The following is a 15,701-nucleotide window of genomic DNA, read 5'->3' on the forward strand; positions in this document are numbered from 1 at the left end:
TCTCAATAAATGTTAGATTACAGATTTTGATCTTGTCTTCTCTGACACTCAGTACTACCATGTAGTAGCTACATGACCTTTGGTATATTTACTATCTTCTCTTTGCTTTAGTTGCCTATCTATAAAAACACCTCAGTGCTATTGTGAGGATAAGTTAATATAGGTAAAACATTATCTAACACATAGTATTACATAAATGTTTCCTATTATTATAAGAACACTGCAGATCTGAACAGATAATGACTCAACTATGAATAATTTAGTTCTTTTAATTACTAAGTCATTTAAATGTGACTATTACCTTTTTGCCTCCTATTTCTTACCAACTAAACAGGATGGTAACTAAAGAGGTTCAAAACTGGTACAGATAATATAATGAGAGCTCACAATAAACATGAAATAAGACATTATCTGTCTCATTCCTTATACTGGTATTTAACATATTTGGGGCACTAAAGCAAAGAAAGTTTCAGTGGAGAATAACACTTCTCTGCTCGTATTTTAATTTTTTTTAGAGATGGCGTCTCACTCTGTCACTCAAGCTGGAGTGCAGTGGTGCCATCATCGCTCAAGGGATCCTTTGATCTCAGCTGGCACTACAGGCACAAACAACCACACCCAGCTATTTTTTATTTTTGGTAGACATGGGGTTTTGCTATGTTGAACAGGCTGGTCTCAAGTCATCCTCCTGCCTCGGGCTCTCAAAGTGCTGAGATTACAGGTGTGAGTCACCACACCCAGCAGGGTCATATTTTTATTTGCAGACTCACAAAACCTGTAAACTGAAAAGAACCTTTTGATAAAAGTCCAGTCTTATAATTTCTTACATAAGTGAGATGGATTTGGAATGGGCTTTTCGGGTCTTACTGAGCAGTTCAGTAAGAAATGGGAATTGTAGGCAGAGAGAATCAGTTTGTTCAAAAGTACTAAAGCAGGGGTTCAGGACTTATTCCAGATGTCCAAGGTGTGTGTTGGAACCAGTCTTAGACAATAACACTAGACAATCCTCTTTAACCACTCAACCTTTAAAGTCTATAATTTCTGAAGTACGTATTAGTTACCTGATCTGTGACTTGGAAGCAAGGCAGATCTAGATTTAAATCTCCCCTTGTTACATAAGCAAGTCTTTGAGCCTCAGATTAGTGTGATAGGTTTGTTAAAGTGATTAAGTGAGCTAAAGTATGAAGAGCTCCCACCTGGGGTGCCTGGCAGATTGCAAATACTAAAATGTTGGTTCTTTTTTTTTTTTTTTTTTTTTGAGACTGAGTTTCACTCTTGTTGCCCAGACTGGAGTGCAATGGCTCGATCTTGGCTCACCGCAACCTCCGCCTCCTGGGTTCAAGCGATTCTCCTGCCTCAGCCTCCTCAGTAGCTGGGACTGCAGGCATGTGCCACCATGCCTGGCTAATTTTTTTTTTTTTTTGAGATGGAGTCTCGCTGTTGCCCAGGCTGGAGTGCAGGGGTGCAATCTTGGCTCACTGCAACCTCTGCCTCCGGGTTCAAGCAATTCTTCTGCCTTAGCCTCCGAGTAGCTGGGACTACAGGCGCGTGCCACCACGCCCGGCTAATTTCTGTATTTTTAGTAGAGACGGGGTTTCACCATATTGGCCAGGCTGGTGTATTTCCTTTCAGTAGAGACGGGTTTCTCCATGTTGGTCAGGCTGTTCTTGAACTCTCCACCTCAGGAGATCTGTCCTCCTTGGCCTCCCAAAGTGCTGGGATTACAGGAGTGAGCCACAGCGCCCGGCCAAATGTTGGTTCTTTCTAACAAACCTCTTCCATCATATGAATAAGTGTGTAAGATAACAAAACACTGTCTTTCACATGGTATGTGCTTGCTAAATGTCTGAGACTTGCTGGACATTACTTAATTTTAAAAATAGAAAACTGGAGCTGGGTGTGGCGGCTCACGTCTGTAATCCCAGCACTTTGGGAGGCCAAAGCGGGTGGATCATGAGGTCAAGAGATCGAGACCATCCTGGCCAACATGGTGAAACCCCATCTCTACTAAAAACACAAAAATTAGCTGGGCGTGGTGGTGCGCGCCTGTAGTCCCAGCTACTCTGCAGGCTGAGGCAGGAGAATCGCTTGAATCCGGGAGGCGGAGGTTGCAGTGAGCCGAGATCACCCCACTGCACTCCAGCCTGGCGACAGAGCGAGACTCTGTCTTAAAAAAAAAAAAGAAAAGAAAGTTGGAATAACTGCTAGGATGATAAAATGTCTTCATCCCTGACCTTTCTCACCTCCAAATGTCCTTCACAATTTGTTTTTAAGTGTCATGTCACCACCATTAACCTGCTATTTGGAGACTACTGTACCTCAGACTTCCAAGTCAACAGCAAAGATCTAAAGGTCGGGAAGATTTACGGAGACCAAGAACTGAAAGTGTTCCTTTTGTTCCTATGGTCCATTCCATCAACTTGATGAATATCCTGTGAAGTTACCTTTTTTTTTTTTTTTTCTGACGTAGAAACAGCAGGTCTAAGCAAAAGGTGCATGAGCAAGAGCAAGTAACATCCCTATTATTATGACGCAGATTTTTTTTTAAGTTGAAATTCAATTTTTGGGCTGCTACTAAAAAGGACATGTGCGAATATCTATTATTTACGCTTCAAACTAAAGTCAGCCGTTTTTCTTTTTCAAGATATGTGGCATCTGGCTCAAAATCAATTGCAAGAAAAGCCCAACTCTATTTGACCCAGAAAGAGCTCTTTCCAATACCCTCTCCTCCCACTTACATCACAGATGGCGACTGAAGCTTAAGGTTTAATGCCCGACCCTAAAGCCACTCATCCTAAAAGACAGGGCTCCAGATGGATGCTGTATGGCAGAGGATAAGGCGCTATGAGAAGCTGCCAAGCCTCAGATGTGCAGCTGGGCTGAATACCGACGCCAGCGCCTAGCGCCCATTACTTTGCACCCACACTTAGGAAACAACCCACGCCTCACCGCGGGACCCGGACCCAGCCCTCCAGCACCCAGCCTCCGGCTCCGACGTCCGCGCGTGACCTCCGGGTACCGGAGGACCTTGGGACGAGGAGGTCCCTCCGCTTTCCGGGGAAGTTGTCAAGGGCAAGTTCGGGTTCTGCGCGGACAGCTTACTCACTGGAGTGGTTCGGCATCCTCTGTCGTCCGCCCGCGCTTCCTCAGGAAGCCCCTAATGCAGCGGCAGCCTGAAAGCAGCAGCCGAAGCTGCTGCCGCTGCTCCCACTGCCAGCAACCGCCCGGGCGTGGCAGGGACAGGCGGGCGACTTCACAACATCATCACTCGGCGACCTCGGTTCTGCGGCGACACCGGGTCAATGGCAGCCCCCACACAATTGGGGAAGCCAAAGGAGAGCCACTCTCCCAGCGGCCTCCACGGCCCCAGCGCAAGACCTGCTGGGAATTGTAGTTTCCTGCCCGCCCCGCCTCAAGCTCGAAGGCCCCGCCTTCTCGCTGCCCAGCCCCGGGGAGGGAGGCGGGGCCGCGACCCCGGCGCGGGTGGGGCGAATGCGTTCCCAGCGGGTAGCCTGGGACTGGTGCAGAGTTCCAAGCCCACGGCCCCGGTCGCGGCCTCGCCGCCCTCCCGCGCCCCGCGCCGGGAGCGGGCCTAGAGCGCTCGCCTCGCCCCTCCGCGAGCAGGGCTCTGGCGCCCGCCCCTGTCCGCACCGCTGGCAGCCTGAAGAGAGTCGCTGGCCGTGGTCGCCGCTAGGGTAAAGACGGGAGGCAGGCCCGGGAAGGGAAGGTGTCGGGGCCGGTGGGGGACGTGTGAGGGAGTGAGCCTTGGTCCGCGCACGCCCGGGAAGCCAGAGGCCAGAACGCGCTAGCCCACCTCCAGCCCGAGCACCGGCGGCTGGCGGGAGCCGTGGCAAGAATGCGGCCCGAGGTGGCGAGCAGCCACTGCGCCAGTGCAGCTCGGGCTCAGCGGGGCCCGGGCCGCGGGTTCGCAGCCCGCCCAGTGGTGCCTGCCGGGTTGGCCGTGCCGGCCGTGCCAGGTGCGCGGGGCCCAGGCCGCCCGGGCGCCCTCTCCCCGCACCCCTCACCTTTGGCCGCGCTCTCGGGCTTGGGGAGTTGCCATATCGAAGACACCCTCAGACCCCAGCTCTATCTGCCGCCTTCTGCAAGTTCGCTGCAAAGTCCCCCATAGCAGGACTAGGAAGGAACCTTTTACAAAATTAAATACTCGAGTGTCGTTTTGTCTTCGGTTTTTCAATTCAACGCTGTGTTTTTCCCTGCTGGGTCTTTGTCAAGTACCTTTTCCCCAAAACTTGATACGGATGTGTAACACGGCGCCTGCTTAGCACGGTGCCTGGCACCCAGTAGGCGCTCAGTAAAGATTTGTTGAACGCATGAGTCACTAAGCTTGGAAAATTCTCCTGAACTGTGCGTCGCTATGATCTTTGTTAAGATTTTATGGGTTCCCAAGATCACTTTGAAAATTACAGTAATTTTAAAGCTCAACAAAGAGTTACATCGGGTCATTTTTGCATTCCCTGTAACAGTGGCCTCTGTTGAATGCCTAAATTAACTCAAAACCCGTGTTCTAGAAGATGCGCCCTTTGGTTTCTACAGAAAGTGTTAATCTTTCAGATCAAAGTCTTCACATGAACCATTCTATTATGGAACAAACTGAAATTACTTATAAAGCTTTATCGTAATTAGCGTTTTGGATACAAGTGTAAGGGACTGCACTGATGTACTTGTGAATACGAAATATAAGTCTCTTAAATATGACTTTTTTTTAAGAAAGGGTTTATATTCATATCTCGTGAAAGAGCATGCCGGAGAAAATTATAATAACAGCAAATCCCCCACCCCCACCCCTTTGCTGGGTGCAGCTGCTGCCTTGACCTCAAAATGTCTTGTAAAATTATCTCTTAATAGTCTGGTGTATCTAAGGCAAAAATCTCTGAGATTAAACCACCCCATAGGGACAACCCTTTTATTACTAACAATTCTTACCAGATTGTGTCTGTTTCTTCTGAGCTTTTCTGAAAAAGAGAAAAAAATAGACAACGTAATGGAGTTTCACATTATTAAGACAAAATCAGTAACAACTTGCTGACATTGAGTGAAAAAAGCAGGATACAAAATCATGATAACCAGAAAATTTGGTTAATCATGACATCCATAACCCTTCTGCTTGTGGGAAGGTCAGCTACAAGTGGCCAGGGTCTTGTCTGCCCTGATTACCAGCGGGTGTCCACAGTGCCTGACCCATGGTAACCACTCATTAAACACTTGTGTAATGATTACTTGGCTGTTAACAGATTAACAGTGTATTGACTATGATGTGTAGTTTCTTCATTTACTTGGATATCTCCTTAGAATAGATCACTCCGGGGAATTTTACTGGGTCAAAAAGTATGAATATTTTCATGGTTATTGAAACATTTGACAACCTGCTTTCCAAATAAACCTTATAGTTTTGTACTGCCATCAGTACATTTGAGTGTACCTTTCAAAGCATAGTTCAAGCTGATACAGTGTTTGCTAATTAGGGGCACTTTGAGATGTAACTCATTTGATTTCATTCACCCTGGAAGGTTGGCAGGGCAGGCATTGCTTTCCTCCTTTTGCAGCACAGCAAACTCCAGTGCTTTAAATTGACGGTAATGAATGGTAGGTGGCTAAATGATCACAGCCTTTCAGGTCCGTCTTCCTCCCAATCTCTACCTTTGGTTCATAGTGAACATCCTGAATAAATTCACCTCTTTCTTTAGCAATAAAATTGGATATTGCTTTATGGTTTTTATGGTTTACAAAATCTTCCCTTTCTCATCCTGCTCACATATTTGTAGATGGGTTCATCAAATTTGGGGAGTTGAAATAATGAAGCACAATTTAGATGAAAGAGATGATGTTGGTTAGATGTAAAGGGATGCTCTGAACCCACAAACTTACAAGATTGCCACCCTTTCTATTAGTAAAGGTCTGGAAACCGTGGATGGTGCTTTTGTATCTCCTTGAATTAATTTCCTAGTCTGTTATTCTGATTCTTTCCCATATTTGCTGGTCAGGGACCCCAAATGATTTAATACGTAATTAATCCAATAAGAAAGGGCTTTGGAAAGTCTCAAAGTTTAGTTGTAATATGTGGAACCATTGAAAATTCTTGGGGTTTATTGTAAGTGACACTGTTTATATCAAAAGTGGGCCAAAAATTGGTTTTCTACATTGCTTTCAAATTTGCTCAGCGTTCTTTAAAAAACAAACAAAAAACAGTATAGAAAAGATAGGGAAGGAGAAATGCAAACATATTGAGGCTTTGGAAATATTCAGGACTTCTTTTTGTTTTCACTCTGCTTCTTGGTTGTGATGTCAGATCACAAATAATGTTCAGTAAAAAATAAATGCTCTTTAAAGATACTTTTCAGGAATGTCTCCTTGTGTCAAGGAGTAGCTGCCTAAATATTGGGTATCAGGGAATAGCTGCCTAAATATTGGATGGGTTTAAGGCAACTGGTTCTTTAAGGAACTTTTATGTGAATCTAAATTATTTTGCTTTTGTTTTTTATAGTAGGATATATCTGCATCTTGAAAGGAAGATAAAACAAAAGCCTTCTTTGGAATAGATGGATTTTTGTCACTTTCTGTGTGAACTAAAGTGATTCAATGTCTCTTTTGGTAAGTTTTTGTAAATATAGATCTGATTTTGTTCTGTCAGAGTAGTTGGATGTTAATGCCAAGCCATAATAAAAGGCATATTCTGATGGGATATTCTTATGCTCTGAGATATTGTTTTGACCTGATTGACTTCTGGACTTGAGAAATGAATTACATTCTCATTGAGTTTTTCTTTCTTTCATAAAGAACTTCTCGTATACTTCAATATGTTCATTATTCTAATCTTTTGTCCCATATCTACTTTTTCTCATAGGTGTTATACTTTGATATGCCACCCACACCAGTTAGCTATGCCTTATCTTTTAAATCTTTCAGAAATTCCTTTTACAAATTTCCATCTGACCAAAAGCAAGCCAAACAGTATTAAAAATAACCCCTTTGACTTAACCGAAATAAAATCATTTGGATCAATGTATATATGAGGTATAGCTGCCAACTGGTTTTCTATTTATATTTAGATCCGTGGTATCTACTTTAGATTAAGTAGCTTGAGGACTTTCATCCTGTTTTATACATAATAATAATATTTGAATAGGGAATACTTATATTAAAATGTGGTTTTTAAAAAAGTAATGAGTAGACCACGTGTAGTGGCTCACACCTGTAATCCCAGCATTTTTAGGGGCCAAGGCTAGAGAATCAGTTGAACCCAGGAGTTCAACACCAGCCTAGGCAACATAGTGAGATCCTGTCTGTATAAAATATTAGCCAGACGTAGTGTCATATGCCTGTAGTCTCAGCTACTCAGAGGGTTAAGGTGGGAGGATCCCTTGAACAAGGGATCAAGGCTGCAGTGAACTGTGATCATGCCATTGCATTCCAGCCTGGGTGATAGAGGGAGATCCTGTCTCAAAAAAAAAAAAGGATGAGTATATTTGTATGATGATTTATAGTTTACAAATACTTTCATATATTTCTTTCATAGTTTCAAATTGTGTAAGTTTAGCAGGGCAGGTGGCATTATCCTCATTTTCAGTTTGTCCAAGATTGCAAAAAGTTGGAGCCAGACTCATACCTGCCAATCTATTCTATCAATTACCAAGGCTGAGAGGCAGAACTATGAAGTTAGAAGACTGGATTGTTAGTAATATGGAAAATACATAACACAGTTACTTACATGTTTAAAGTAAAGCATTACCACTTGAAAGAGAAGCTTTATATATCTGGAAAATACACGGAGGTGAAATGTTTTATTCTGTAAAGGAGGGATCAGCAAGCTTTTCTGTAAAGGCCAGATAGTATTTACAGACCCTTTGGTCTTTGTTACAGCTACTTTTCTGCTGAAATACTAGCATGAAAGCAGCCATAGGCAATATATAAATGAATGAATGAATGTATCTGTGTTCCAGTAAAACTTTACTCACAAAAACAGGTGGTGGGTCAGATTTGGCTCATGGACCATAGTTTGCCGACCCTTACTCTAAAGGATTACTTAAGATTTACAATTTTATATCAATTTTTAAGTTGGAAAAGATGTGAAAGGGCATTCAGTCTATTCCCTTCATTTGATAGGCGAGAATTGTGAGATTCAAAGGGCTGTGTGTTGCCCAGGGCTTTCAAATTTTGGAAAAAGAATATCTTAGCCTATTATTCCATAATTATGGGTTTTGTGAAAAATAATAGAATGTGATAATGGGTGATTTATATCGTTAATGATTGTAACTTTAAATCACATTTTTCTGCAATGGTGAAATATTTTAAATTCTTTGAATCGAAATATTTACTTTTTTTCCTTAAACGAGAAATTTGTGCAGTTGGGATAAAGTTGATACTTTTACTTAAGGATTCCTCCCCATTCAAGTTTTACCCTCTATTTGAGAACTAAGAAATGCTGTTTTCAAAGGAGCAGCATATGTAAAAATATCTTCTTTCAGTTTCTTTGTAAGGTCTAACTACTTTTTACTTGGCTATTATGATAATGGATAAAGAAATTATATTCAAAAATATTCAAAGGGAAAAGGTATGTGGGGTGAAGTTCAGAGGAAACCAGGCACAAGCTTTCAAGAATCTTTTCTCAGTGGAGTTCCATAGTATATGCACAGTTCCCCCAGAGTTGTGACATGTGAAATGTTGTCTACTAGGGAAGCTCATTAGAGACTTGGACTTAAGGTTTTTATTGGGGACTTGTCACGTAGGCGTGCTCTGCTAGCAAGTAACAAAATTCCAGTCTCCCAGAAAAAAAGCCAGGTGTTCAGCATAAACTGTATTATTTGCACAAACAGTTTAGACACAGTGAGCGATTCTTATGAAGGGAACCTCTGCAAAATCCCAGTTCCCAGATACTAGCCAAGGGTCAACCTTATAAGCAGCTATTTTCTAAGAATAGCAGTTTTAGGCCTGCTGTTAATTCTTCTTTTGCACAGTGGTATTAATGGTCGTTGTGAAAAATTCAAGCTAAATGTTGTAAAAATATATAAATACCAAACAATATATAAATGTCCTGCCCAGCTGGTGGATATTTTCAATATGAACAACAGTAATAAGTATCTTCAAAAACTGTTTTATTATAAATGTTATTCACCCTAGGAAGCCATTAGAAACTCTGCAGAGGAATCAGTTGTACAGCTATCTTGACATTGTTAGCGTCTATTCTTCAGGGTGAGTTTTACATAAAACAGTGGGAATATATACCAAATTTTTGTAATAGATTTATAAAGTATACAGACTGTAGGAATTCAAGTTAAAATAATCAGTAATGAAGGCTAACTGGGACAATGACTAGTTTGATTAGTGAGAAATTCTGGCATATCTTAAAAGGAAATTTATATTTAAGTAATTGACTACAAAGTGTTAAGTAGACATAGGTAGACATATCTTAAGAGACTCATTTGATATTGTACTTTAATGTTAATATAAAAATAAGATGCTTGAAATGAAAAATTCTGAAATGGCTGTGGTGGCTCACGCCTATAATCCCAGCACTTTGGAAGGCTGAGGTGGGCGGAACACTTGATTGAGGTCAGGAGTCTGAAACCAGCCTGGCCAACATGGTGAAATCCCATCTCTACTAAAAATACAAAAATTAGCGGGGCGTGGTGGCAGGTGCCTGTAATCCCAGCTACTCAGGAAGTTGAGGCAGGAGAATTGCTTGAACCCAGGAGGCAGAGGTTGCATCAAGCCAAGATTGCACCACTGCACTCTAGCCTGGGTGACAGACTGAGACTCCGTCTCAAAAAAAAAAAGAAAGAAATTTTTTCAAATATTGAAGTTATCTTGTTATAAAAGCCTCTCATACAATGTGTTTATACTTTTCTTTTGACATACTTTTTCTTCCTAAATAGTATGTCAGCTTCACCCCACTGATTGATGATGTGATAAATCACATGTAGGTGTTACATTTCTTTATTGGCAATAAATAATAATAGAACCATGGGTTAATATGCAGAAAAATGTAAATTGCGATAATAAAAGTAAGTCTCTTTTAATTTGCTTTGAGTTATAATTAGAGATGTTTATCACCTTTAAAAACAATTATTTTTTCACTCAATATGTGGCTTAATGTGAATAAACATGGTTTCTATACTTAAGATAGCTGAGGATCAAAATAAAAATAATTATAATGAATTCAGCAGAATAATCTTTGGCTAAATATTCAGAAGAAAACCTCAGTGATGTTGACAGACAGAGTTAAAAATTAACACCAACAGTTAAAATGAATTATTATGACATCAAGAAAAGAGGGCAAGGATCAGTGATAGCACCAAATAAAATTCTCACATATATGAAGTTTGTCTGCATGCCCAGCCACTTCTCCCTTCTCTCCCATGCTGAGTTCCTCATGATGTGGATCCTGGCTTCAATTCCAAGTTTCTGCAAGTTGCCCTTCCTCTCTTTTCCCCACTGTAGTCATTAGACCTTTTTGTATCTACATACCACCCCTGCTTATCCTGTAACTTATTTTTCACTTATATAATGCATTTCTGACTTCCAGGATTGCTTCTGCACTTCAAGAACACAAGTTGAATCACTCAGACCTGAAAAACAGTCTGAAACCAGTATCCATCAATACTTGGTAAGAAAATGGTTAGGCTGGATGCAGTGGTTCACACCTGTAATCCCAACACTCTGGGAGGCCAAGGCAGGAGAATCACTTGAGCCTAGGAGTTCGAGACCAGCCTGGGCAACATAGTGAGATCTCATCTTTAAAAAAAATGGTTGAGTACAATGAATGCTCTAACTTTGCCTTCTGTAATACTATTCACTCCTACTTCTCTTCTATTTCTTTTTCTTTACAGTGTCCTTTACTATTTCTTCCTCCTGCCATTTTCCAGGAGTCTATAACTGGCCATTTCTCTTCTTCCTAAAGTGGCTCTTCCTAAAGTGGCTCTTCCTAAGCAGTTTCACCTGTTCCTATGACTTCAGTTGCTCAGATTTCAGATTGTCCTGGAGTTACCACAGGTTTCCTGAGGGGACCCTGGCATCAAGCAGAACTGATGCTTCTCAGATTTTTACCTGCAACCCCAGACTCTTTCCTGGGCAACAGACGTGTCTCTAGAATACCTCCAATTGGATTTTTCTAAGGCATCTCTACTCAGTTTGAATAAAACCTTAATCTTCTTTCAAACCCACCAACTCATGGTATTTCCTACTTTGTCTAATGAAAACTCATCTACTATGTCATCCTAACTAAAAACTTTAGAGTTATCCTCACACGGCCTCTACCTCTGTCCCCATATTTATTATCTGTCTCTGAAATGCCCTGGGGTCTATCCCCTACTTCACATGAGCACTGCTACTGCTCAGGTCTCATTGTCTCTCACCTGGGCTCTTGCAGGTGGACTCCTTGCCTCTAGGCTCCTAGACACACACATAGTCTTCTCCCACCACTCACATCTGTTCAGTGTTCAGTAATGCTACCAATACAGGCCTGCTTGTATCGCTTTCCAGCTTTGAAACTTCCATTGGCTTCCTAAAGCCTATGGGATAAAGTCTAAATTAGCATAATATGAGGGCTCTTACTGGTGTAGAATATGTCTTAGTTTCATTCTCTACTTGAGATACTCTTCTTTCTTTTCTGCCTCTGAAATTCTTCCTCATCCATAAAGAATTGGTTCAAATATTGTATCTGTGAAGCCTTTCCACTTACACTTTTTATTTGGTTCTGCTCCCGTGTATCTTAGATATATCTAAGGATATTTCTTTGGGATCTTTTCCTCTCCTTATTCCGTACTTTATACTGCATTTTTTACTACAGAATGGAACCTACCTTGCAAATGCCTTATTCACTACAAAATTAGTGAATCCCAGTTAATTTTGCTTATAATTTAACCCCCAGTCCTATCTTCAGCTGTCTTTATTTCTGTTATTTGGCTTTTTATTCATTAATACCCTAGTCTTCTGGTTACCTGTCTCTTCATAAAATAGGAAGTAGTATCTGAGGGGTTTTTTAAAAAAAAATTTGGAGTACATAGAAGATGTATATATTTATGGGGTACCTGAGATATTTTGATACAGACATATGATATGTAATAATTACTAAATGGGTAAATGGTTTATCTATCACTTTAAGCATAAATCATTTCTTTGTGTTATAAACATTCCAATTATACTTTCAGTTATTTTAAAATGTATAATAAGTTATTGTTGACTGTAGTCACTCTGTCATGTTATCAAATACTAGATCTTACTCATTCTATCTAACTATATTTTTGTACTCATTAACCATCTCCACTCTGCCCTGCACCCCTTCTTGGCCTCTATTCTCTATCTCCATGAGTTCAATTGTTTTAATTTTTAGCTCCCACAGGTGAGTGACATGTGAAGTTTGTCTTTCTGGGCCTGCCATATTTCACTTAACATAGTGTCCTTCACTTCCATCCATGTTGTTGCAAATGGTAGTATCTCATTCTTTTTTGTGGCTAAATAGTATTCCATTGTACATATGTACCACATTTTCTTTATCCATTCATCTGTTGATAGACACTTAAGTTTCTTCCAAGTCTTGGCTATTGTCAGTAGTGCTGCAATAAACATGGATGTGTATATATCTCTTCAATATACTGATTTCTTTTCTTTTGGATATATACCTATCAGTGGGATCGCTGGATCATATGGTAGTTTTTTTTTTTTTTTTTAGTTTTTTGAGGAACCTCCATACTGTTCTCTATAGTGGTTGTACTAATTTGCATCATCACCAACAGCATATGAGGATTCTCTTTTCTCCATATCCTCACCAGCATTTGTTATTGCCTGTCTTTTGGATAAAAGCCATTTTAACTAGGGTGAGATGATATTCCCTTGTAGTTTTGATTTGCATTTCTCTGATGATCAGTGATGTTGGGCACTTTTTCATGTACCTGTTTGCCATTTGTATGTCATCTTTTAAAAAAAATTATTTTTATTTCTATTTTTTTTAGAGATGGCATCTTGCTTTGCCACCCAGCTGCACTGCAGTGGTGTAATCATAGCTCACAGCAGCCTTTAACTCCTGGGTTCAAGCAATCCTTTCACCTCAGGTTATTGATAAGCTATGACTACAGGTGTGTATTACCACACCCAGCTAATTAAAAGAGGTCTCACTATGTTGACCAGGCCGATCTTGAACTCCTAGCCTCAAGTGATCCTCCCACCTCAGCCTCCCAGAGTATTGGGCTTACAGTCTGAGCCAATGTGCCCAGAACTGTATGTCTTCTTTTGAGAAATGTTTATTTCTAGATCTTTTGCCCATTTTTAAATCAGATTGTTAGATTTTTTAAATTGGATTGTTTGAGCTCCTTATATATTCTGGTTATTAATCCCTTATCAGATGGGTAATTTGCAAATATTTTCTCCCATTCTGTGGGTTGTCTCTTCACTTTGTTTTTTCTTTTGCTGTGCAGAAGCTTTTTAACTTGCTGTGATCTCATTTGTCCATTTTTGCTTGATTGCCTCTACTTTTGGGGTATAACTCAATTAATCTTTGCCCAGACCAATTTCCTGGACAGCTTCCTCCATCTTTTCTTGTAGTGATTTCATAGTTTGAGGTCTTAGATTTAAGTCTTTAATCCATTTCAATTTTATTTTTTAATATAGCAAGAGATAGGGGTCTACTTTCATTCTTCTGCATACGAATATCCAGTTTTCCCAGCACCACTTATTGAAGAGACTATCCTTTCCCCAGTGTATGTTCTTGGCTTCTTTGTCAAAAATGAGTTCACTGTAGTATGGATTTATTTCTGAGTTCTCTGTTCTGTTCCATTGGTCTGTGTGTCTGTTTGTATACAAGTACCATGCTGTTTTGGTTATAATAGCTCTGTAGTATAATTTGAAGTGAGGTAATGTGATTCCTCCAGTTTTGTTCTTTTTGCTTAGGATTATATAATGACCTTCCATGTCTCTTTTTATAAGTTTTTCCTTGAAATTTATTTTGCCTGATATATGTGTATATCGATTCCTGTTCTTTTTCGGTTTCCATTTATATGGAATATTTTTCTTCCACTATTTATTTTCAGTCTATGAGTGTCTTTATAGGTGAAGTGTGGTTCTTGTAGGCAACAGATAATTGAATCTTTTTTTAATCGATTCAGCTACTCTATGTCTATTCATTGGAGAGTTTAATCCATTGACATTCAGTGTTATGATTGATAAGGACTTAACTGCTGGCTTTTGTTATTTGTTTTGTATTCTCTTCCTTCCTTCCTGTCTTCTTCTTTTTTGTGAAGTTTATTTTCTCTGGCAGTATGTTTTAGTTTCTTGTTTTTTATTTTGTTGTGTGTGTATGTGTTGTAGATTTTATGATTTGAGGTTACCATGAGGCTTGCAAATAACATAACATGTTATTTTAAAGTGACAACTTGACACTGATTGCAAAAACAAACAGGCGAAGAGAACTAATAAAAACTGTACACTTTAACTTCATTCCTCCTGTTTTTTAAGTTTTTATGGTTTCTATTTATATCTTCTTGTACTATTTTGAAAAGGTATTGCAGTTATCATTTGTTCATCTTTTAATCTTTCTACTAAAGATATGAGTAGTTTACACACCACAATTACAATGTTATAATAGTCTGTTTTTATCTGTGTATTTATTACCAGTGAGTTTTGTACCTTCAGATAATTTCTTACTGCTCGTTAACAACCTTTTCTTTGAGATTGAAAAACTCCCTTTAGCATTTCTTGTAGGAGAGGTCTGGCATTGATGAAATCCCTCAGCTTTTGTTTGTCTGGGAAAGTTCTTCTTCCATGTTTGAAGGATATTTTCACTGGATAAACTATGAAAGTTTTTCACTGGGTTTGGTGGCTCACACCTGTAATCCCAGCACTTTGGGAGGCCAGGGTGGGTGGATCACAAGGTCAGGAGATTGAGACCATCCTGGCTAACATGGTGAAACCCCATCTCTACTAAAAATACAAAAAATTAGCTGGGCGTGGTGGCACACGCCTGTAATCCCGCCTACTTGGGAGGCTGAGGCAGAATTGCTTGAACTTGGGAGGTGGAGGTTGCAGTGAGCCAAGATTGCACCATTGCACTCCAGCCTGGGTGACAGAGTGAGACTGTCTCAAAAAAAAAAAAAAAAAGGTTTTCCTTCAGCACTTTAAATATGTTGTGCTACTCTCTCCTGGCCTGTAAGGTTTCCACTGATAAGTCTGCTGCAAGATGTATTGGAGCCCCTTTATATGTTCTTTCTTTTTTCTTACTTCTTTTAGTATCCTTTCTTTATCCTTGACCTTTGGAAGTTTGATTGTTAAATGTCTTTTTTGGGTTAAATCTGCTGGGTGTTCCATAACCTTCTTGGATACTGGATATTGATATCTTGGATACTTGGATAACTTCTTGGATACTTGGATATTGATATCTTTCTCTAGGCTTGGAAAGTTCTGTGTTATTATCCCTTTGAATAAACTTTCTATTCTGATTTCTTTCTCTACCTCCTCTTCAATGCCGATAAATCTTAGATATGCCCTTTTGAGGCTGTTTTCTAGATCTTATAGGTGTGCTTCATTCTTTCATATTCTTTTTTCTTTTGTCTTCTCTGTATTTTCAAATAGCCTGTCTTCAGTCTCACTAATTCTTTCTTCTGCTTGATCAGTTTTGCTATTGAGACTCTAATGCATTCTTCAGTATGTCAGTTGAATTAGAATTTGCTTGATTTTTAAAAAATTATTTCCATCTC

The 15,701-nt window shown here is 40.1% G+C and overlaps 2 protein-coding genes across 5 annotated transcripts in view, besides 3 other annotated features; one reads left to right on the forward strand and one right to left on the reverse strand.

The window, feature by feature from the left end:
* The window catches only part of TRAK2 (trafficking kinesin protein 2), a 74,252-nt gene extending 71,037 nt beyond the window's left edge, over positions 1–3,215 (reverse strand). Inside the window, exon 1 of one of the 2 annotated variants that reach the window (NM_015049.3) lies at positions 3,107–3,215. The gene's annotated coding sequence lies outside the window, so the exon portion shown is untranslated. Of the gene's footprint in view, positions 1–2,949 lie in introns of both variants that reach the window. The other variant, XM_047445578.1, reaches the window with a different exon arrangement.
* Positions 2,570–3,424: an enhancer, noted in NCBI's record as "H3K27ac hESC enhancer chr2:202315536-202316390 (GRCh37/hg19 assembly coordinates)". NCBI's record gives its function as "activates a minimal SCP1, AML or CMV promoter by ChIP-STARR-seq in primed H9 embryonic stem cells {active_cell/tissue: H9 hESC(primed)}" and the evidence as "EXISTENCE:reporter gene assay evidence [ECO:0000049][PMID:30033119]".
* Positions 2,828–3,357: an enhancer, noted in NCBI's record as "active region_16991". NCBI's record gives its function as "activates an Ori minimal core promoter by ATAC-STARR-seq in GM12878 lymphoblastoid cells {active_cell/tissue: GM12878}" and the evidence as "EXISTENCE:reporter gene assay evidence [ECO:0000049][PMID:35858748]".
* Positions 3,388–4,067: a silencer, noted in NCBI's record as "silent region_12232". NCBI's record gives its function as "represses an Ori minimal core promoter by ATAC-STARR-seq in GM12878 lymphoblastoid cells {active_cell/tissue: GM12878}" and the evidence as "EXISTENCE:reporter gene assay evidence [ECO:0000049][PMID:35858748]".
* Positions 3,497–15,701, forward strand: part of STRADB (STE20 related adaptor beta) — a 29,107-nt gene continuing 16,902 nt past the window's right edge. For all 3 annotated transcript variants that reach the window (NM_001206864.2, NM_018571.6, XM_005246669.3), the window contains exons 1-3: positions 3,497–3,695; positions 6,503–6,609; positions 10,541–10,621. In NM_001206864.2, coding sequence (NP_001193793.1) covers positions 6,598–6,609; positions 10,541–10,621 — 93 coding nt within the window. In that variant the 5' untranslated portion in view covers positions 3,497–3,695; positions 6,503–6,597. The remainder of the gene's footprint in view (positions 3,696–6,502; positions 6,610–10,540; positions 10,622–15,701) is intronic.

This window comes from Homo sapiens, chromosome 2, assembly GCF_000001405.40.
Source record: "Homo sapiens chromosome 2, GRCh38.p14 Primary Assembly".
NCBI classification, from domain to species: domain Eukaryota; kingdom Metazoa; phylum Chordata; class Mammalia; order Primates; family Hominidae; genus Homo; species Homo sapiens.